The following is an 18,242-nucleotide window of genomic DNA, read 5'->3' on the forward strand; positions in this document are numbered from 1 at the left end:
GCTGAGATTACAGGCTTGAGCCACTGTGCCTGGCCTACTCTTATAATACATTAAAATATTGTACCAAATGGGAAGGAAGAGATATAAATACCACCAAATTCATTCTGCACTTGATGTGGTTTGGCTGTGTCCCCACCCAAATCTCATCTTGAATTGTAGCTCCCATAATCCCCACGTGTCATGGGAGGGACGTGGTGGAAGGTAATTGAATCATGGGGGTGGGTTTTTCCTGTGCTGCTCTCCTGATACTGAACAAGTTTCACAAGATCTGATGGTTTTATAAAGGGTAGTTCCCCTCCACATACTCTCTTGCCTGCTATCATGTAAGACGTGACTTTGCTCCTCCTTCGCCTTCCGCCATGATTTTGAGGCCTCCCCAGTCATGTGGAACTGTGAGTCCGTTAAACATCTTTCCTTTATAAATTACCCAGTCTTGAGTATGTCTTTGTTAGCTGCATGAGAACAGACTAATACAGCACTCAATCCAATATTTTAAATGATTTTTTGCTCAAACTCTTTAATGATTTCTTATGTCCTTCTGAATACAACTGCCCCATGACATCTCAAAATTCCTCTCGGATAGATTGCTTGTTCACAATTACACTTTGTTGTCTCACTGGAAAGCTTGGGCTCTTTCTAAAAACTTACTCTAAAAAGCTCTTGGCATCCTCCCCAAATATTTATTTGAAAATTTTTGCTGGGCTGTGTCTGTCTCACCTGGAGCTCTTTGGATGCTTCATATCCTTTTAATCCAGGAAAGCAGATGTATTATTTCTCTGTTTTCTTTTTCACCACTCTCTTATGTTTTCAAAGTGTTCATTTTAACACCAAATAAAATTAGCCTTTCACTGGAAGGTCAAACATGAGTGTAGCTGGCAAAAATGTACTATGTCAATAATATGACTGGAATCGTAACAATAACAAAGTATGGGATATTGCATATGATAGGCATGGAAATAAAAGCTGAAATGCAACATTTTGTAGTTGGAAAAGGGAATATTTTAAAGAATATTTTGTATTAAGTATTAAATTTTAAGAGATAATGTAAGGTTGGGGTATATATATTATGGATACAGACAACAAAACAATCTACAAGATACCACGGTTAGAAAATAAATCCTTGGGCATGCCAAGGTAATTTATAGATTCAATGCCATCCCCATCAAACTACCAATGACTTTCTTCACAGAATTGGAAAAAACTACTTTAAAGTTCATATGGAACCAAAAAAGAGCCCACATTGCCAAGTCAATCCTAAGCCAAAAGAACAAAGCTGGAGGCATCACACTACCTGACTTCAAACTATACTACAAGGCTATAGTAACCAAAACAGCATGGTACTGATACCAAAACAGAGATATAGACCAATGGAACAGAACAGAGCCCTCAGAAATAATACCACACATCTGCAACCATTTGATCTTTGACAAACCTGACAAAAACAAGAAATGGGGAAAGGATTACCTATTTAATAAATGATGCTGGGAAAACTGGCTAGCCATATGTAGAAAGCTGAAACTGGATCCCTTCCTTACACCTTATACAAAAATTAATTCAAGATGGATTGAAGACTTAAATGGTAGACCTAAAACCATAAAAATCCTAGAAGAAAACCTAGGCAATACCATTCAGCACATAGGCATGGGCAAGGACTTCATGTCTAAAACACCAAAAGCAATGGCAACAAAAGCCAAAATTGACAAATGGGATCTAATTAAACTAAAGAGCTTCTGCACGGCAAAAGAAACTACCATCAGAGTGAACAGTCAACCTACAGAATGGGAGAAAATTTTTGCAATCTACTCATCTGACAAAGGGCTAATATCCAGAATCTACAATGAACTCAAACAAATTTACAAGAAAAAAACAACCCCATCAAAAAGTGGGCAAAGGATATGAACAGACACTTCTCAAAAGAAGACATTTATGCAGCCAAAAGACACACGAAAAAATGCTCATCATCACTGGCCATCAGAGAAATGCAAATCAAAACCACAATGAGCTACCATCTCACACCAGTTAGAATGGCAATCATTAAAAAGTCAGGAAACAACAGGTGCTGGAGAGGATGTGGAGAAATAGGAACATTTTTACAGTGTTGGTGGGACTGTAAACTAGTTCAACCATTGTGAAAGTCAGTGTGGCGATTCCTCAGGGATCTAGAACTAGAAATACCATTTGACCCAGCCATCCCATTACTGGGTATATACCCAAAGGATTATAAATCATGCTGCTATAAAGACATATGCACACGTATGTTTTATTGTGGCACTATTCACAATAGCAAAGACTTGGAACCAACCCAAATGTCCAACAATGATATACTGGATTAAGAAAATGTGGCACATATACACCATGGAATACTATGCTGCCATAAAAAAGGATGAGTTCGTGTCCTTTGTAGGGACATGGATGAAGCTGGAAGCCATCATTCTCAGCAAACTATTGCAAGGACAAAAAACCAAACACCACATGTTCTCACTCATAGGTGGGAATTGAACAATGAGAACACATGGACACAGGAAGGGGAACATCACACACCGGGGCCTGTTGTGGGGGTGGGGGTAGGGGGGAGGGATAGCATTAGGAGATATACCTAATGTTAAATGAGGAGTTAATGGGTGCAGCACACCAACATAGCACATGTATACATATGTAACTAACATGTACCTGCATGTTGTGCACATGTGCCCTAAAACTTAAGGTATAATAATAAAAAAAAAAAAAGAAAATAAATCCTTGGGCATGATGATGTAACTTTTGTTTTTTACTTTTTCTTTTCTTTCTTTTTTTTTTTTGAGACAGAGTCTCACTTGGTCGCCTAGGCTGGAGTGCAGTGCTGTGATCTTGGTTCACGGCAACCTCCGCTTCCCAGGTTCAAGCGATTTTCCTGCCTTAGCCTCCCATGTAGCTGGGAGTACAGGCACATGCCAACAGGCCCAGATAATTTTTGTATTTTTAGTAGAGATGGGGTTTCACCAAGTTGGCCAGGTTGATCTTGAACTCCTGACCTCAAGTGATCTGCCCGCCTCGGCCTCTCAAAGTGCTGGAATTATAGGCGTGAGCCACTGTGCCTGGCCTATTTTTTACCATTTCTAAAAGACATTTCCCATTTGGTTGAATTCAGAAATTCAAATATACATATATATAACTTGGAGTTGTCTTTTGCAATATTGCTGATATTCAGGTCAGTATTCCCAGTAAAATGTATTCAGCATGATATAACTTAACATAAAAATATTTTCCAGGCTTTATCTGAAGTGTGTAGTTTCAGTTTGGTATGTATTTCTGTTGTGACTAAAGAGAAGGATTTTTCTTACTATCTAAGTTTTCTATATATAAGATCCTAGAGTGGTTCTCATTCATTCAAAATATATTTATTGCATACCCAGTATGTTTCTGGCAATATGTTTTTATGATAATTCTATTATGTCCTGAAAATGTCTTACAGTGGTATTTTATAATGGCAAAATTTTTGGCAAGTTTCACAAGTATGTACTTTTTTCAAAATAGCTTCTTTATTCAATGCCAAAAAAATAGAAATTGGACAAATCATCTTGTCAACTTTAATGACTAATTTGGAATCACCGAGAATAACTGCTTATTTATGAAAATCAGAAATAAACCCATTCTCTAAAAGACAGGGGGATGGTGTTAGTGTGAAAGATCCTGCAGTGTGATTGTGTTTCATGAACATATATAAACTTTAGATATATCAGTTTAATATTTGTTAATGATGGGCAGGTACTGAGGTAAAAAAATTAACCTACTTGAGAATATGTTAACTAATCTACAGAGGACATTAGTTTATGCAGTCCTTGGATATAAGAAAATTTGTATTATTTTATTTCCTGAAACTATGTTAGACTGAAGGTCATACAAAAATTAAGAGGTCTTTCATAGTCCAGACCCCTGGAGAAGGATCCACTTGCCTTCAGTCCACACTGGTCACTTTTGAAAGGCTCCTTGGCCAGGTTCTTGTATCTTGGACCTCACTCTGTGAGCCTTGCAGTTTTAGGACAGTGGTGAGGGGACATCTCTGAGAGAATAGATAGATGAGTTCCTGGCACTGGGAGCTTGAGATGGAGTATAGAGCAGAAAAAGCAGGTACTCAGGGGCTGAAAGAAAGAACAGAAGATGCCCTTCTTCAGGCCGGATATTTACCAGCTGGGCAGGTGGGTTGGTGCTCAGAGAAGTTCTCAACTATGACCATGAAGTCAGCAGATTCATACTTCTTCCAAATTTCCCCCCTTTTTAGCCTGTAAAGCCACAGCTAAGCCAGTGCTGGTTCTGAATTACTTCCCTATGCACGATGTGTAAATGATTGAAATCAGATGAGCCATAGACTGTAAATTCACTTGTATAAATGTGTGAATTATTGACATGGATCCAATTAAATGGGGAATGGTAGCAAGAAGTAGTCCTTGGTCCTTCATTGTAGGGAGAAAAAGTTTTAGAGGGAGGATACTGCAGAATGGAGTTTCTGATGGAAAATGTTTCCACCCTCACAGATTTTAAATAACTCTTCTTTAGGGAGGTCAGTGAGGCTACAGGGAGCCAGAGGGTGGCCCCTGCTGACTGTTTCAAGGCTGTCCTTCCCCTCTTCTCAGGCCTTTCACCTGTTGGTGTCATTTCACATGCGTGATAATCTTCAAACCCAGCTCTGCCACCATCTACCTTCCCCATTGCTGCCCTTCTGCCCCAAAGGATTTGAGAACAACATAAAACAATAAATACTCAGCTCCCCATGAGCTGCCATTCACTTCAACTTGGCTCTCACCAGTGCTTGACACATCTTCTCTCCATTTCTCCCTGGCAGGTCTCCAAAAGGGCTGCTTTAAACCATTCCTCTCTCCTTAGCCCCCAGTCCCACATGCTGAGAGTCAAGAGAACATGTGTGAGAACGTAGGTGTGGGCATCAGATGGAACTCAGCACTCACCAGCTGCAGGACCTTGGTTGCATTTCCTAACTACATCTGGAAAAGAAAGATGATCATAACTAGAACTTAACCTTTGAAGGTTTTATGAGCATGAAAAGATGTCTGGAAAGAACTTAGCCCACCAGGACAGGGCTCCGTGAATGTCATCTGTGACTGTGGGTACCCTTCCTTCAAATGAGTGAACAATACCCTCCTCATTGACTTGGAAAACAAGTGCCCCTAGCATGCTCCTTCAACTACTTGATATTAATTTCCACATATAACTCACTCTTTCCACTTAATCGCCTTTTCCAAAATGTACCTCCACCCCTGTGTTACTGGATGCCATTGTTTGTGCCTCAGGCTCCTTGTTGTTGTCATTATCCCACCTTCTCTGGGACTTTCCTTGGCCTTTAGGAAAACTTTATACTTTGAAACAAGTGGGCTGAAATTCTGTCTTCTCTTGGATGACCTGGCACCATCGCTACTATGTGTCACTTGTGTCCCCCACTTCTTCCTGTGTCATCTCCTGTGGTTCAGTTCTTAGTGTTTCAGTCTTTGCTTTTGACCCATTCACTCCAAGGGCTTCCAGAGGATGTTGAATGGGACAAAATATTGCTATGTGACCCACATTTGAGAAGATCCAATGACAGTTGGATCCAGGCACCTCCCTATGACTTACCACTGGGAGGCAGAACTACCCAGTTAAGGAAGGTGGTATTTGTCCTTTTCCAAAGATAGCATAGTGGTTAAGTGCACAGATATTTGGAGTCAGACTACTTGGGTTTGAATCCAGCCTCTGCCACTTACTAACTGTATGCTTTTAGTTGAGTCACTTAACCTAGTTGAATTATTTAACTTCTCTGTGCCTCTGGTTTCTCATTTGTTAAATAGAGATAATAAAAGTTTCTTACTCCATAGGTCAATTGAATTAACTGAATCCACTATTAAGAACAGCAATTATGTCACTATAATTCCCCAATCCTTCTGCCCTGCCCCAAGTCCCACTAAGGGAGGAGAGAAGAAAAGAAGGAATGAACCATGCTTGCCTCTAACTTCAAGTCTCCCCAGCAAGGGATCAAAATCGTGTAGAAGGGAAGGGGAGGGGAAGAGGTGAGATTTCAATCACATTTGAGATAGAAACATTTAACTGGTTTGAAATTTTAATACCTTTTCAAAAAACATGCCTGGAAAGCTATGAGATATGTTCAAGATGTAATTATGAACTAAAAAGGCTGTATTGCAGTTTTTTAGAAAAATAAAAATGATTTCATTTAAATTCACCAACTTGATTCCTCAGTAATACTCATAATAATGATGATGATGGTAGCTAGCTGAATTCAGGATTATTTTTTTGATATTCACTACCATGGCAAACTGTCAAACTTAAAAAATCATTTATAACTCATATCCACTACAATGGATATTATGAAAGATACAAATAATAACAAGTATTGGTAAGGATGTAGAGAAACCCAAATACTCATACATTACTGGTGGGGATATAAAGTGGTGCAGCCACTTTGGAAAAAAGTTTGACTCTTTCACAAAATGCTAAACATAGAGTTACAATATGAGCTGGGAATTCTACTACCTAGATATATTTCCAGGAGAAATGCAAACATACGTTCACACAAAAACTTGTCCACAAATGTTCATAGCAGCATTATCCATAATTGCCAAAAAAGTAGAAACAACACAAATGTCTGTCAATGGAAAAATAGATAAAGAAAATTTGGTATGTCCATAAATAAAATATTGTTTTGCCATGAAAAGAATGACATATTTATACATGCTACAACCTGGATGCACCTTAACAAACACGCTAAATGAAAGAAGCAAGTCACAAAACCTATATACTGTGTGATCCCATTTATTTTAAATGTCCAGAATAAGTAAATCTAGAGAGGCAGAAGTTAGATTAGTGGTTTCCTAGAGCTGAGTGTGGGCTGGGGTGGGAAGTGACTACTAAGGGTATTTTGGGTGATAAAAATATTCTAAATTTAGATTATGGTGGTGGTTGCACAATTATTTTAATATGCTAAAAACCATTGACTAGTACACTAAGTGAGTGAGCTTTATAGAGTATGTAAAATTTATATCTCAGTAAGTTATTAAGAATCAGCTTATTATTCTCCAAGTTTTGAAAACAGAGTCACAGTTTCCCTGACCTTGGGCTTTAATCTTTACAATAAATAACCTTAGCCTCCTCTCTCTGCATGGCCTCTCTTTCCACTTGGTGATGGCAGTGGACATGTGTCATTTTTCTGGCTGCCAGCATTTGAATCCATTTCCAAGTTTAGAGAACTGCCCCCCTACCACCACCATTTATGAGTCTTGGTGGAGTGCATCAGCCGCCTCCCATTATAAAATGGAAAACGCTGGTACCTGCTTGCTAAAGTTTAGAGGCCCCCACCCTGCCCCAGCTTTGAAGTCAGGCACTTCAAATACAAAGATACACTTCAGATACAAAGAAGTGAGGACAGTGGGAAATCCATTCTGATGGCAGGTGAGCAGTGACAACAGCCAACTTGGTTTCCAGGGACAGCGTCCGTGTCCAGTGCCAGGTAGTGCAAGGCATGGCCACACTGTGCTCAGCAGGAGTGATCTCACCACATTGACTTTTGGCTTGATTTTGCCTGTGACTAAATGCTACTTAGTCTTCTGGTCCTGCCTGTTTCCAAGCCTGTTTCTTTAACTTTCCCACTAATTGTGTGAGTTTATTAATAGCCTTCCGATCAGTTCCTTTCCTTCCATGCTCAGTTTCTCTGCTTGCTCCTAAGAATCCTGTTTGATACAGTCAGCAAGGAAGGATAATTTTCACCCCAGTCTCCAGGATCTTTCTTTAGATTCTGTAAGCATTTACTTATTTAGTGACTACTTTGTGCCATCCAATAAATGATCTCATAATCGCATAGTGGCACCGATACCAATAGCTCCCATTTCACAGATGAGGAAACAGGCTCATTGAAATGAATAGCTTGTAGATTCAAACCCAGGCCAAGCCCAGTGCCTTTCCCATAAGATCTTCATGGCCCCTTCTCCATTTTCACTGACACCACATCTCGCTCATTATTTACAGAACAAAAGGTCCCACTCCTCTCCCTCCCTCCACTATCTTTCTTCTTTAAATCGCTGTGGGCATCATTGTCATATTTCATCATAAGAGTATTGTTGATTCCTTTGTACAACAGCTGATGATGACTCCCTACTGTTTAGGTGATCAGACCTCAGGAAGGTATTTCCTGATCACATCCAATGCCTCCTTTGTCTCTGGCCACATCTTTTACTAATTCTAAACAAGCCCATCACATGCTACAAGAGTAAGTCCTGTTTTCTCTTAGTCTGGCTCAACTTACTATAGACAGCAGGACCTCAATCAATACCCTTAATCTGGAGGCTGACTAAAGACAAAATATTGAATTCACTCTTCATATTTTCATCATAAACCCCAAATTCTATGACAATGATGATTTTGGAAACAATAAATTAAGCATCAAGCATCATATGGCAAAATCTATTGGAATGTAATATTTTTGGCAGGAAATCATTTCAGAGTGGAAAATGTTTGCTAAATATAAACACTGCAAAGCCATGTGCACCGCCAAGACTTTATTATTAGATTCTCAGGGATTTTTATTTAGAAGCTGAGGAACTTGCGAGGCTGTACAATTCCTGGAATGGAATTTAGGTTTGCTTTCTGAAATCAATCCAGGCAAGCCTTTTTGCACATGAGCATTCTTAGAAAGTCTTTGAATGTCTATTCTTACTCACTTCTATGGGTGGCACAAAATCCAAAAATAAAATTACCATGAGGTTCTGCTTGCTTCCTGCTTTAGCGACACTGGAAATCCTCCAGGGATAGCTCATGTACTTTGTAAGTTCTCCTTTGCCTCTCTCATTGCCAGCATTGGGTAGTTGAAACCTAGACTCAGGACAAGATCTGGGATGGTGTGAACGTCAGGAAGGCTGTGCAGGAGAATTCAGAGGACTGGGCCACAACTGCTAAGGGTAGACCTGGAATGCAAGGGCAATTCACAGAGGGTTGGTCAGCAGGGATGGGGCCAGCTATAGTGGTACTTGAGCCTGTCAAGGGGCTGAGCAGAGAGGCCTGGCCTGACTCCTACCTTGCACTACTCTTCTCTCAAATGGGAATACTGGGGGAATCCAAACAGATCCTGGCCATTAGCAGGAGAGATTGAAGAGACCACAGCCCACATCCTGGGGCACTGTAGCATGTTCCTTTTATTGCTGGATCTGGCTGTAACTTTGGGACCTGACTGTGACACCCTGTGTAGTTATCTTGTCAAATCCCCTTGTAAGGCCCAGCCTAGTGCTTGGATGCCTGACACTTGCATCTTCTTTCTGTATGCTTCTTCCTGCCTCCCATGTGACTTTGTCAAGATGGCTGTCACTCCATCTTTGTTGCTATGAGCTTTGAGCCCCTTTGGACAACTCCCCTGGATGCTGCTTGCTCACCTGGGCCACTGCCTGTTGTTCAGGCCATGGCTTTCCATCAACACTATCTTTTACCGTCTCTTGCCAAGTCAAGCCTGTGCCCTCAGGGCCAGTCTTCCTTCATACAACTCTGTGAACAGACCTAATTTCAGACCCTGACCATGTGTTGACTTCACCAGGCTCTACTCCTCAGAGGGGTAGCAGGAGCTGAGGAGGCTGTCAGGGGCCCAGGCATGGGTTAAAGGCTTTGGTAGCATGAATAGAAAGAATGGGTCAGAAGCCCAGACTGATGGACACAGGCATCAGGGAATGCACCAAGGAGACCAGGGCTTCATTGGCTCACAGGTCCCTGTGCTAAAGAGGAAAGCACATCCACAGTTAAAAAAAGCTGCTCTTCCTTCAGGTGTATACAACCTGTAGCGATTTGAATGTTGGCCCCAAAAGGATATGTGCAAGTCCTAACCCCTACTACCTGTGAATATGATCTTATTTGGAAAAAGGATCTTTGCAGATGTAATTAAGGATCTTGAGATTGAGATCATCGTGGATTACCCAGATGGGCCCTAAATCCAATGACAGGTGTCCTTATAAGAAGAAAAGAAACAGTGAGAAGAAGGCCATTTGATGATGGAAGCAGAGATTGGAGTGGCGTAACTACAAGCCAAGGAATGCCAAGTATTGCTGGCAGCTGGCAGAAGCTAGGAGAAAGGCAGGGAACAAATGCTTCCTCAGAGCCTATAGAAGGACCCAATCGTGCCAACACCTTAGGACTTCTGGCCTCCAGAACTGTGAGAGGATAAATTTCTGTTGTTTTTGGTCAGTTTGTGGTAATTTGTTAAAGCAGACTTTGGAAAGTAATGCACAGCCCCAGAAGGAGACATGGCTTTTTGGGTAGAGCACAGGCTAACTTTCAGCCCTTCCTGCCCAGCAGTCTGGTTTCTTTGTGCAAGGCACAAACTACACCACAATTTATCAAGGCTCTGATGGAGACTGAGAAACCAGAGCCCAAATCCACAGAAAGAATTAAAGGAGTCAGCATTTGGTAACAGGAAAAGAATGAACTCTATAGGCAGATGGAAGCCTGGGATTCTGACACTGTCGCAAGTTAGTATGATGTTGAGCATCAGTTTTTTTCACCTGCAAGACGGGGTGGGAAGGGAAGTAGCACTTGTTGATCACCTTTTGGGAATGATGATTCCCTTGAATTCACTGGATGGCTCTCAGGATTGGATGACAGAGTACAGTGCTTGGTTTCCCGTCTGTCCTCAACAGATATTTATTTCCTGTCCCCTCCTCTCCTCACCTTGGGTAACTGGTATTAGTGTTGCAGGAGCAATAAGGATACTTGAACTCTGCTACAACTTTGCTTAAGCTCAGAAATGTTTGGAGCCTCTTGAAATTGCAGCCAATGGTGTCTGCCATTGGCTCCATGGGCCTTGCAGGGAGAATGAAGTTGATATACCTTCTGGAAAAGAAAGAGCAGGGAAAAAGCAGGAGCTACAGTTTATAAATTCTGTTTCTCCAACGTGGCCACAATTTGAAATCTACACTGCATGTTTATTCTGTTTGTAGCACTACATGCATGCAAAACTGGTTGAAGACAGTTTCCATGATGAACACAAGCATTATAATTGCCATGTTGATCTCCATAGGAATTCAAGTGGAAAAAAGGTTCTTTATTCCAGGATGCCCATATTTGGACATTGTTGCCCTTGCCAGACAAGAGGGAATGACCTTGTTCTTAATTTAAAAAAAAAATGGAAAGGTGGTGGTAGTAGCCTGGTAGTAGCCTTGGTTAAAAGATTATGGGTTCACACTTTTCTACCAAGTGGAATCTGTCTGGCTATTCTGAAGCATAGAGACATTCTATGTCTTCTGAACATAAACAGGAGAGTTTGTTGAAATACAATATTAATATGCACTACTGAGAAGATTTTGATGGTTCATAAAACCCTCATGAATCATGGATGAGAGAGTTACTGGAGTCTCACAGATCAATTAATTAGATGTACAAAGTGTATACATTTTTCATTTGATTATATTTTGGTGTTGTGTTATAGATATTTGGTAGATAAAGTGAATCCAAGTATTTATTTAAAAAACTACTTCAAGACGACATTGGAGGGTGGTTAGTGAGTCTGAGTTGAAGGATTATGAGGGCCCCAAGGCTGGTCCTGAGTGTGCTGGTTAAAGGGGTGCACAGGCACCTGACATAACAGAGCTGGGAGTCCAGCAACTAACAGGAGAGAGAAAAGGTGGCATCCTTCTCCCTGTGAAAGTCGCCTTAAGAAAGCTTAGGCTCCACTTATGGCACAGAGAGCTAAACATACATCAGCTTTTCCCTCCAGGGAAATCCTTCGGGGTACTCTGAACACATTTCTGTTGGATTAACAGGGCCCTTAGTGAGATGGTGTTAGGCTGTCCAGCGACTGGGATCTTCCATTTCTTTCAGAGCAGGAGACAGCAAAATCATGGCTTTTGTTATCTATCTATATATACTTATTAATGAAGACATTCCAAATGAATGATGACTTCCTGAGCTATCCTTGTGGCATGTGCCTGTCCTTGTGTGAGTGCTTGTGTGTGTGTGTGTGTGTGTGTGTGTGAGCAACTCACCTAAAAAGTAGGCTCTAGAGTAGGCTCTAAAGAGCTTGGCTGTGCCTTTTGAACTGACAGATACATATACTTTATAGAACTGTGAACTTTTTCACCCAATAAAACAGGGGTAATACAAGAGTCTTCTAAATCTTTATGTTTCATGTCAGTATTACCAGGAATTCTGAGGCCGAAGTTCATTGCTTACAGGGTAGTTAAATAAAGATGTTAAAGGATTAGCTAAAACATTATCCATGTATTATCCTAGAGTCAGTGGTAATATCTACTGACAAAAGAGAAGATTAACCTCAGAGCTTTTTGCTAAACAGCAAGCTGATGCTCAAGTCACGTTTCAACATATTTCTTTTGCAAGGAGGCTCTTTTATCTCTATCCAAGGTGATACTAATAGACTTATGGAATACGTTTTCCCGGTCTCCAGAAGTGTGTCAGCTTTCCAATGACGTGTTTTTTCCAATAATTCAACTCATCAGATTCATCTGGAAACAGTTGTTTTGATGCCTTCTGTCTTTCATGTGGTGCCCTAATAAAGGCTGCAGAAGGAATATGGTTTGCAGAAAGATTAAGGTGACCCAAAGATGTATTAATGCCCTGCTGATGTTCAAACAAGCCAATGGCTTTTTCTTTGGAAGTTTAGGTGTTAGTAGAAGGAGGCACAGAGGCTTGGAGTTACAGAATGTTTGGCCCAGAAGAGCTTAGAGATCCCATACCCATCTCACATTTGGGAGCCCTCTGTGGCTCCCCATTTAGGTGGTCTCCAGCCATAGTTTCTGCACATTCAGGGCAGAGAAAGCTCACTACTTCCCCAAGGCAGTCTATTTCCACTGTTAGACCATGATAACACAAGAAAAGTACTTCTGAGCTGAGCTGAAGTGAAATATGCTTATGCAACATTTGGTCCTAGTCCTGCTTTCTAAAGCACAAAGAATAAATCTCTTTCACCCTGATGGGCCACACAGTCCAGATGAATGGATGGAGATATTGGGTTTGACTCTGCTCCATCACTTAAGTAGCAGAGCATGTTAGAATCTCTCAGAATCTTGGCTTTCTGGTCTCTTAGACGAAGATCAGGATCCCCATCACCTGGGCCATTGTGGAGTTTGGGCCAAATAATATATTTTAACCATCTATCATGGTACTTGGCACATGGCAGGCATTTATTGAATGCTCCCTTCTTCCTTCTTCTTGGGAGCTCTTCAAACACTTGGAGGCAGCAAGTCTATTTTCCTTTGGTTTTCTCTTTTCCCAGCCTTCATGCTGCAGATCAAAGGAATGGAACTGAAAGTGGGGGCTGGGAAATATCTAAGTCAGTGTCTCCTAAAGTGTGGGCATCAACAGGTGGTAAGAAAGGTTATTTTTAGATAGCACATGCATGATCATTTTATAATTTAAATATAAATCTATCTATCTATTTAAATGATATATTTCATAGCTGTCCTGTATTATGTCAGGGAATACTATTTTTCTATATATGCTAGTGATATAAAGTCTCCTTTAAAATAAGGTTATTTAAGAATAAAGGCAAATCAAGTACAACAAAAGCTGTTATTATTACCTTGTTGAAAATCAAATGAGTTTCCAAGCAAATCAAAGTCTATTTCAAAAATCTCATTAGCAAGCAGATCTGAAGAAACGACATGGTGTATGACTCCAACTATGTGATATTCTGGAAAAGGCAAAACTAGAAAGACAGTAAAAAGATCAATGGTTGCCAGGAACCTGGAAGGAGGAAGGGATGAATAGGCAGAGCACAGGGGATTTTTAGGGCAGTGAAACTACTCTGTATGATACTGTAATGGTGGATATTTTTACATATTACATTTTTCAAAGCCCATAGAATGTACAACACAAAGAATAGGTCTAGTAAACTATAAGATATTAATATTAGCTCATCAACTGTAGCACATGTATCATACTAATGCAAGATATTAATAATAGGAGAAACTTGAGGGTATATGGACACTCTTTGTACTTTCTGTTCAGTTTTTTTGTAAGCCTAATACTGCAGAAAGAGTCTATTAATTAAAAAAAATTAATTAGCTAGACAACTTTCCAGCCTGATTGTTTATTCACTGCCATTTCTCCATCTGTCTCAGGGACATTTCATGTCAAAAACCAAATTAGTCACCTTTCTCTACAGAAGAGTACTGCTATCTAGTTACTTCCAATTGTTAACCTCTGAGATCCTCCCAACCTTAGAGAATATTGTGCTCCTATTCCTCCTTAATTTACCACCTTAGGTTCATTACGAAATCTCTCTGTCCCTCTACTCCCTCCCTTTACTGTCTCTGGAATCCCAAACCTTCACAATTTCCACAACTATTGCCATGGACTGGGAGCTCTCATCACTCCAAGCCTGGGCTACTCTGATTGCCTCTTGGATGGTCTTCTTATCTTTAATTTCTCCTCCATTCCAAGATCATCCATGAACAGCTGTTAAAATCAGGTTTGAATACCAATTTCACCCCATTCCTTCTTTGCTTGAGAATTTGCAAACCTCTGTTTCCAACCATCCAAGTGGGTGGAATGGTCAAAGACCTGGATATTACCTGTGCCCACCAAGTCAAGACAAGGACTTGGATGAGCAGCTACTAGCTGATCCAACAAAGATAATTAACACCGATAATTATGACCATGTATTGAACACCAGTAGAGGATGCTGTGGTTCGTGCCCAGGATGAGGTTCTCATTCCCTCACCCAGTGGCTGGCACTCTCAGGTGAGCCCCTCTCTAGGAATTGCCCTCACCTGAAGGCAGCCACCTCCCAGGGCCAGCACAGACTTGATGACTGGTGGATGAGGAGGAATAACGGCCCCATCTCCTAGCCATGAAGCAAGATACTTCAGAAGGGTCAGCTGAGCATGAGAGTTCCCATGGGATGGGCTGCCCCTGTTGTGACTGCATCAAAGTTTAGCTTCTCCCCAACTTCCTCACAGCACTTGCATCCTACTGTGCCAGCCAATAATCTCCCTGTGCACAAATCCCATCTGGGCATCTGCTTTGTGGAGAATAAGCCCTGCAACAGCATCCAAAGTCAGTTGGACTCTGAGTTTGTGCTATGTCCACTGATCTACACTATCTTTTGAAAACAGGCATAATAATAGCTGTCTGCTGTCAAATACTTTCTCGGTTCCAGGTGCTCTCCTAGGATATTTTATTTATACAAATTCTAATCTTCACATCAACCCTGTGAGATAGGCCCGCTTTCCAGATGAGAATACCTAAGAATTAGAGAATTTGGAAATGTACAAAAGTGGTCCAGTCAAAAAGGTTTTGGGGACTTAGGGAAGGCCAGTCCGTGGCACCTGGGAGGCATGAAATACAAGTGACTTGACATTGAATTATTCACTTCAGACTCATTTACTTCTCCCTGCCCAGGGACAGATCCTAAGAGGGGTTAGGAGGGCTGGGCAGTCGTTCAACGTTCCCTGCTTATCTCCGTTCTTCTTCCCAGGGATGCATCCTTATTAGCTCTTCTTCTGACTACATGTGAGCATTCCATTCCAATCCAGCCGCTCAGCCTGCTGTCCACTCCCTGCAGTGCAACCCAGCCCAGCCCCTGCCTTATGTGCGTGTCGTGTTTTGTCTTCTGAAATGCTCATTCCTCTGCCCATGCCCATCATGTTCCTTTCAGTTTGGTTAAAAAAGGATCTCCTTCTGAAAGGACTTTCTGGTGCTATTTCCAGAGAGACAATTCACCTCCCCAAGTACTTAAACACTCATTGTAGCCCCAGTTGTTCTAGCCTATTTCATATCCATTAGAGGTCATGCTTAGAATTCAGACCATTTCTTCTTCTTCTTTCTTTTCTTCTTCCTTCTTCCTTCTTTCTTCTTCTTTGTTAAGCAAATATACTCTTCTCTATGTGTTACCACTTCTGTGGTGCCCGTGTGATTTTGAAGTGTTTTTCGTATGCCATTAGACCTGGTCTTTTCTGCCAGATTGACTGGAACTGGTAGAACATTTAGCATCTGCAGCTGGGAAATCATAGAAGAAATGCCTGAATGTTTTCCTATGTGAGTGATTCTTATCTCAGCCAAAGAAGAAGTAAGATTTTAAATGAGCCAAAACTGTTCCAGAAGGCAATTCTAGGAGTGAGCATTGTGTAAAAATCTGGAAAAATAAAAAGTTTAATTGTGACAACTGGGGTTTTATGTGGTAACTCTCTCCTCTTTATGTCGTGTTATACCCAAGAAAATCTTAATATCTCTTCCTATATTTATAATATTATTGAGGGTCAAAATTACATGATGAAGGCGTAACTGTGCATGGTTCCTGTGGCCACTGAATCCAGATAAATAGATAGATAAACTCTATGTCCAGAACCAAGGAGTCTATTTTGGTTGTCTATTGTCTGGATCCACTCATTAGGCTGGAGAAGGGTTACCAGATAAAATACAGGATTCCCAGTTACAAGTGAATTTCCAATAAACAGCAGTATAAATGTCAAGTATCACATGGGCTATACTTATACTGCTGTTTATCTGAATTTCAAACGTAAATGGGCATTCTGTATTTCACTTGCTAAATCTGGCATCTGTAAGCTGGCAGGTACCTGGAAAGACTCCTCCTTCCAAGGAGGAAACCAGGTCATGGGTGAAGGCTTTAGTCAGGGATAGGGGGAAGGAATATTTCTTAGTGGCAGCCAAGTAGGTCAAAGTAATGCATGTTGTCCCATCAAATGCCTTTCTCCCTTTGAAAAACAGAAGCAATTACAGGAAGGTGAGCCTAACCAATGATCTGTGAAAGTCGGAGGTTGAGACAGAGGTCCCACATGTGTACATCTAGAAAACCAGTTGGGTGATGTGGTTAGGTTTGGCTTTTGGTTATGTGGATATCCTAGCAATATTATGAGTAAGTGAAGAAAAATGAGGTTTTGGGGAATCAGAAGGGCAGGGCTGGCTTGCCAGAAGGACTAACTCCTGATGGGATGTCTGGTTTTCTTAACATCTAGTATTGAAAGTTACAGGGCAAATTTGGCCTTGGTATGGGCAAGCTATGCAATTCAATGAGATCCAATGTGGCAGGCTGGTTGTGGGAGAAAGGCTTGGCTCCCACAGACAGCGCTGGCAAGTTAGGGTTAAGTGTCATAACTCTTGACCCAGTAGGGGCCTGGAGAACATAAAAGGTCATGATGAAAGAAGATGAAGGCTGGAGAAGGGAGTTAATGAGGACACCAGCTTAAAGCTCTTGGACTCCTAGGCTTCTCCCAACACTCTAAGGATCCTTCTAGGGAAGCCTGTTTAATTCTGGGTCTAGCCTAGGGGTGGAGTTGAGGCAGTTCATGGCCTATCTGCTTTGGTCAGGCTGGCTCAGAGTTTAGGAGGTGGGAGGCCCATGAGATAGACCAAACAGTCAAGATCTGAGTAGCTCACAGGAAGCTAGAGGAACAGCTCCCAAATCATCTTCATTTGTGCCAGGAAGGTGTGTGGGGTAGAGAGTAGGCAATGTACCAGACACCACATGAAGGAGTAGCAGAAACAGTTGGAGAGGCAAGACTGATTGAAACAGGAAAGTACAGGCCAAAGAGGCAGATGAGTCATCATATAAAGATAGCACTAGACGCCATAGAAGGTCTTCTTCTTTTGAAAAGCAGAAACAATTATGAAAAGGTGCGGATAGGCTTTTGAAGGTTGTGTCTGATCTCTGGCTAGGCTCACAAGCCCAGCAGGAGCCTGTCCTACAAAGCCTTTCCCTGAGGAGAGCTTGCAGGTTGGGCAGCCTAAGCCCTCGACAGAAAAGCACATGTTTCCATGAAGTCTGAAGTCTCAAATGATTGCATTTCATGGAGTTTGCCTTGTGCAAAGTCATAGAAACAAATGCAGGTGCACTGTGGGCACCAGAGCTAATAAAGAAGAGAATCTTGTAGACATGAAAGAGAGAAAGTAAGAGAGATAAAAGGAGATATGTGGAAAGAGAGAGAGAGAAAGGGAGGCCATAAACTTTGGTGGTTTTTGCCTTTAGTTTCACTTATGTAGGCCTTTTTGACTAAAAATTCTGAAGATTAGTGTTTGCTATACCTTCAGTTACCTTATTTTTCGTTTCTTTCTTTCTTTTTTTTAAATTTTGCTGAGACAGGGTCTCATTCTGTCGCCCAGGCTGGAGGGCAGTGGCACGATCTTGGCTCACTGCAGCCTCAACTTCTCAGGCTCAAGTGATCCTCCCACCTCTGCTTCCCGAGTAGCTGAGACTGCAGGTGCATGCCACCATGCCTGCCTAATTTTTTTGTATTTGTAGAGATGGGGTTTTGCCA

General features: G+C 41.4%; 1 protein-coding gene across 1 annotated transcript in view, besides 1 other annotated feature; it reads left to right on the plus strand.

The window, feature by feature from the left end:
• Positions 1–18,242, plus strand: part of PALM2AKAP2 (PALM2 and AKAP2 fusion) — a 531,726-nt gene that overhangs the window by 59,252 nt on the left and 454,232 nt on the right. The gene's annotated exons all lie outside the window — the stretch shown is intronic.
• Positions 5,511–5,805: a silencer, noted in NCBI's record as "tiled region #9563; K562 Repressive non-DNase unmatched - State 13:Ctcf". NCBI's record gives its function as "represses a minimal TATA promoter and a strong SV40 promoter by Sharpr-MPRA in K562 cells {active_cell/tissue: K562}" and the evidence as "EXISTENCE:reporter gene assay evidence [ECO:0000049][PMID:27701403]".

This window comes from Homo sapiens, chromosome 9, assembly GCF_000001405.40.
Source record: "Homo sapiens chromosome 9, GRCh38.p14 Primary Assembly".
NCBI classification, from domain to species: Eukaryota; Metazoa; Chordata; class Mammalia; order Primates; family Hominidae; genus Homo; species Homo sapiens.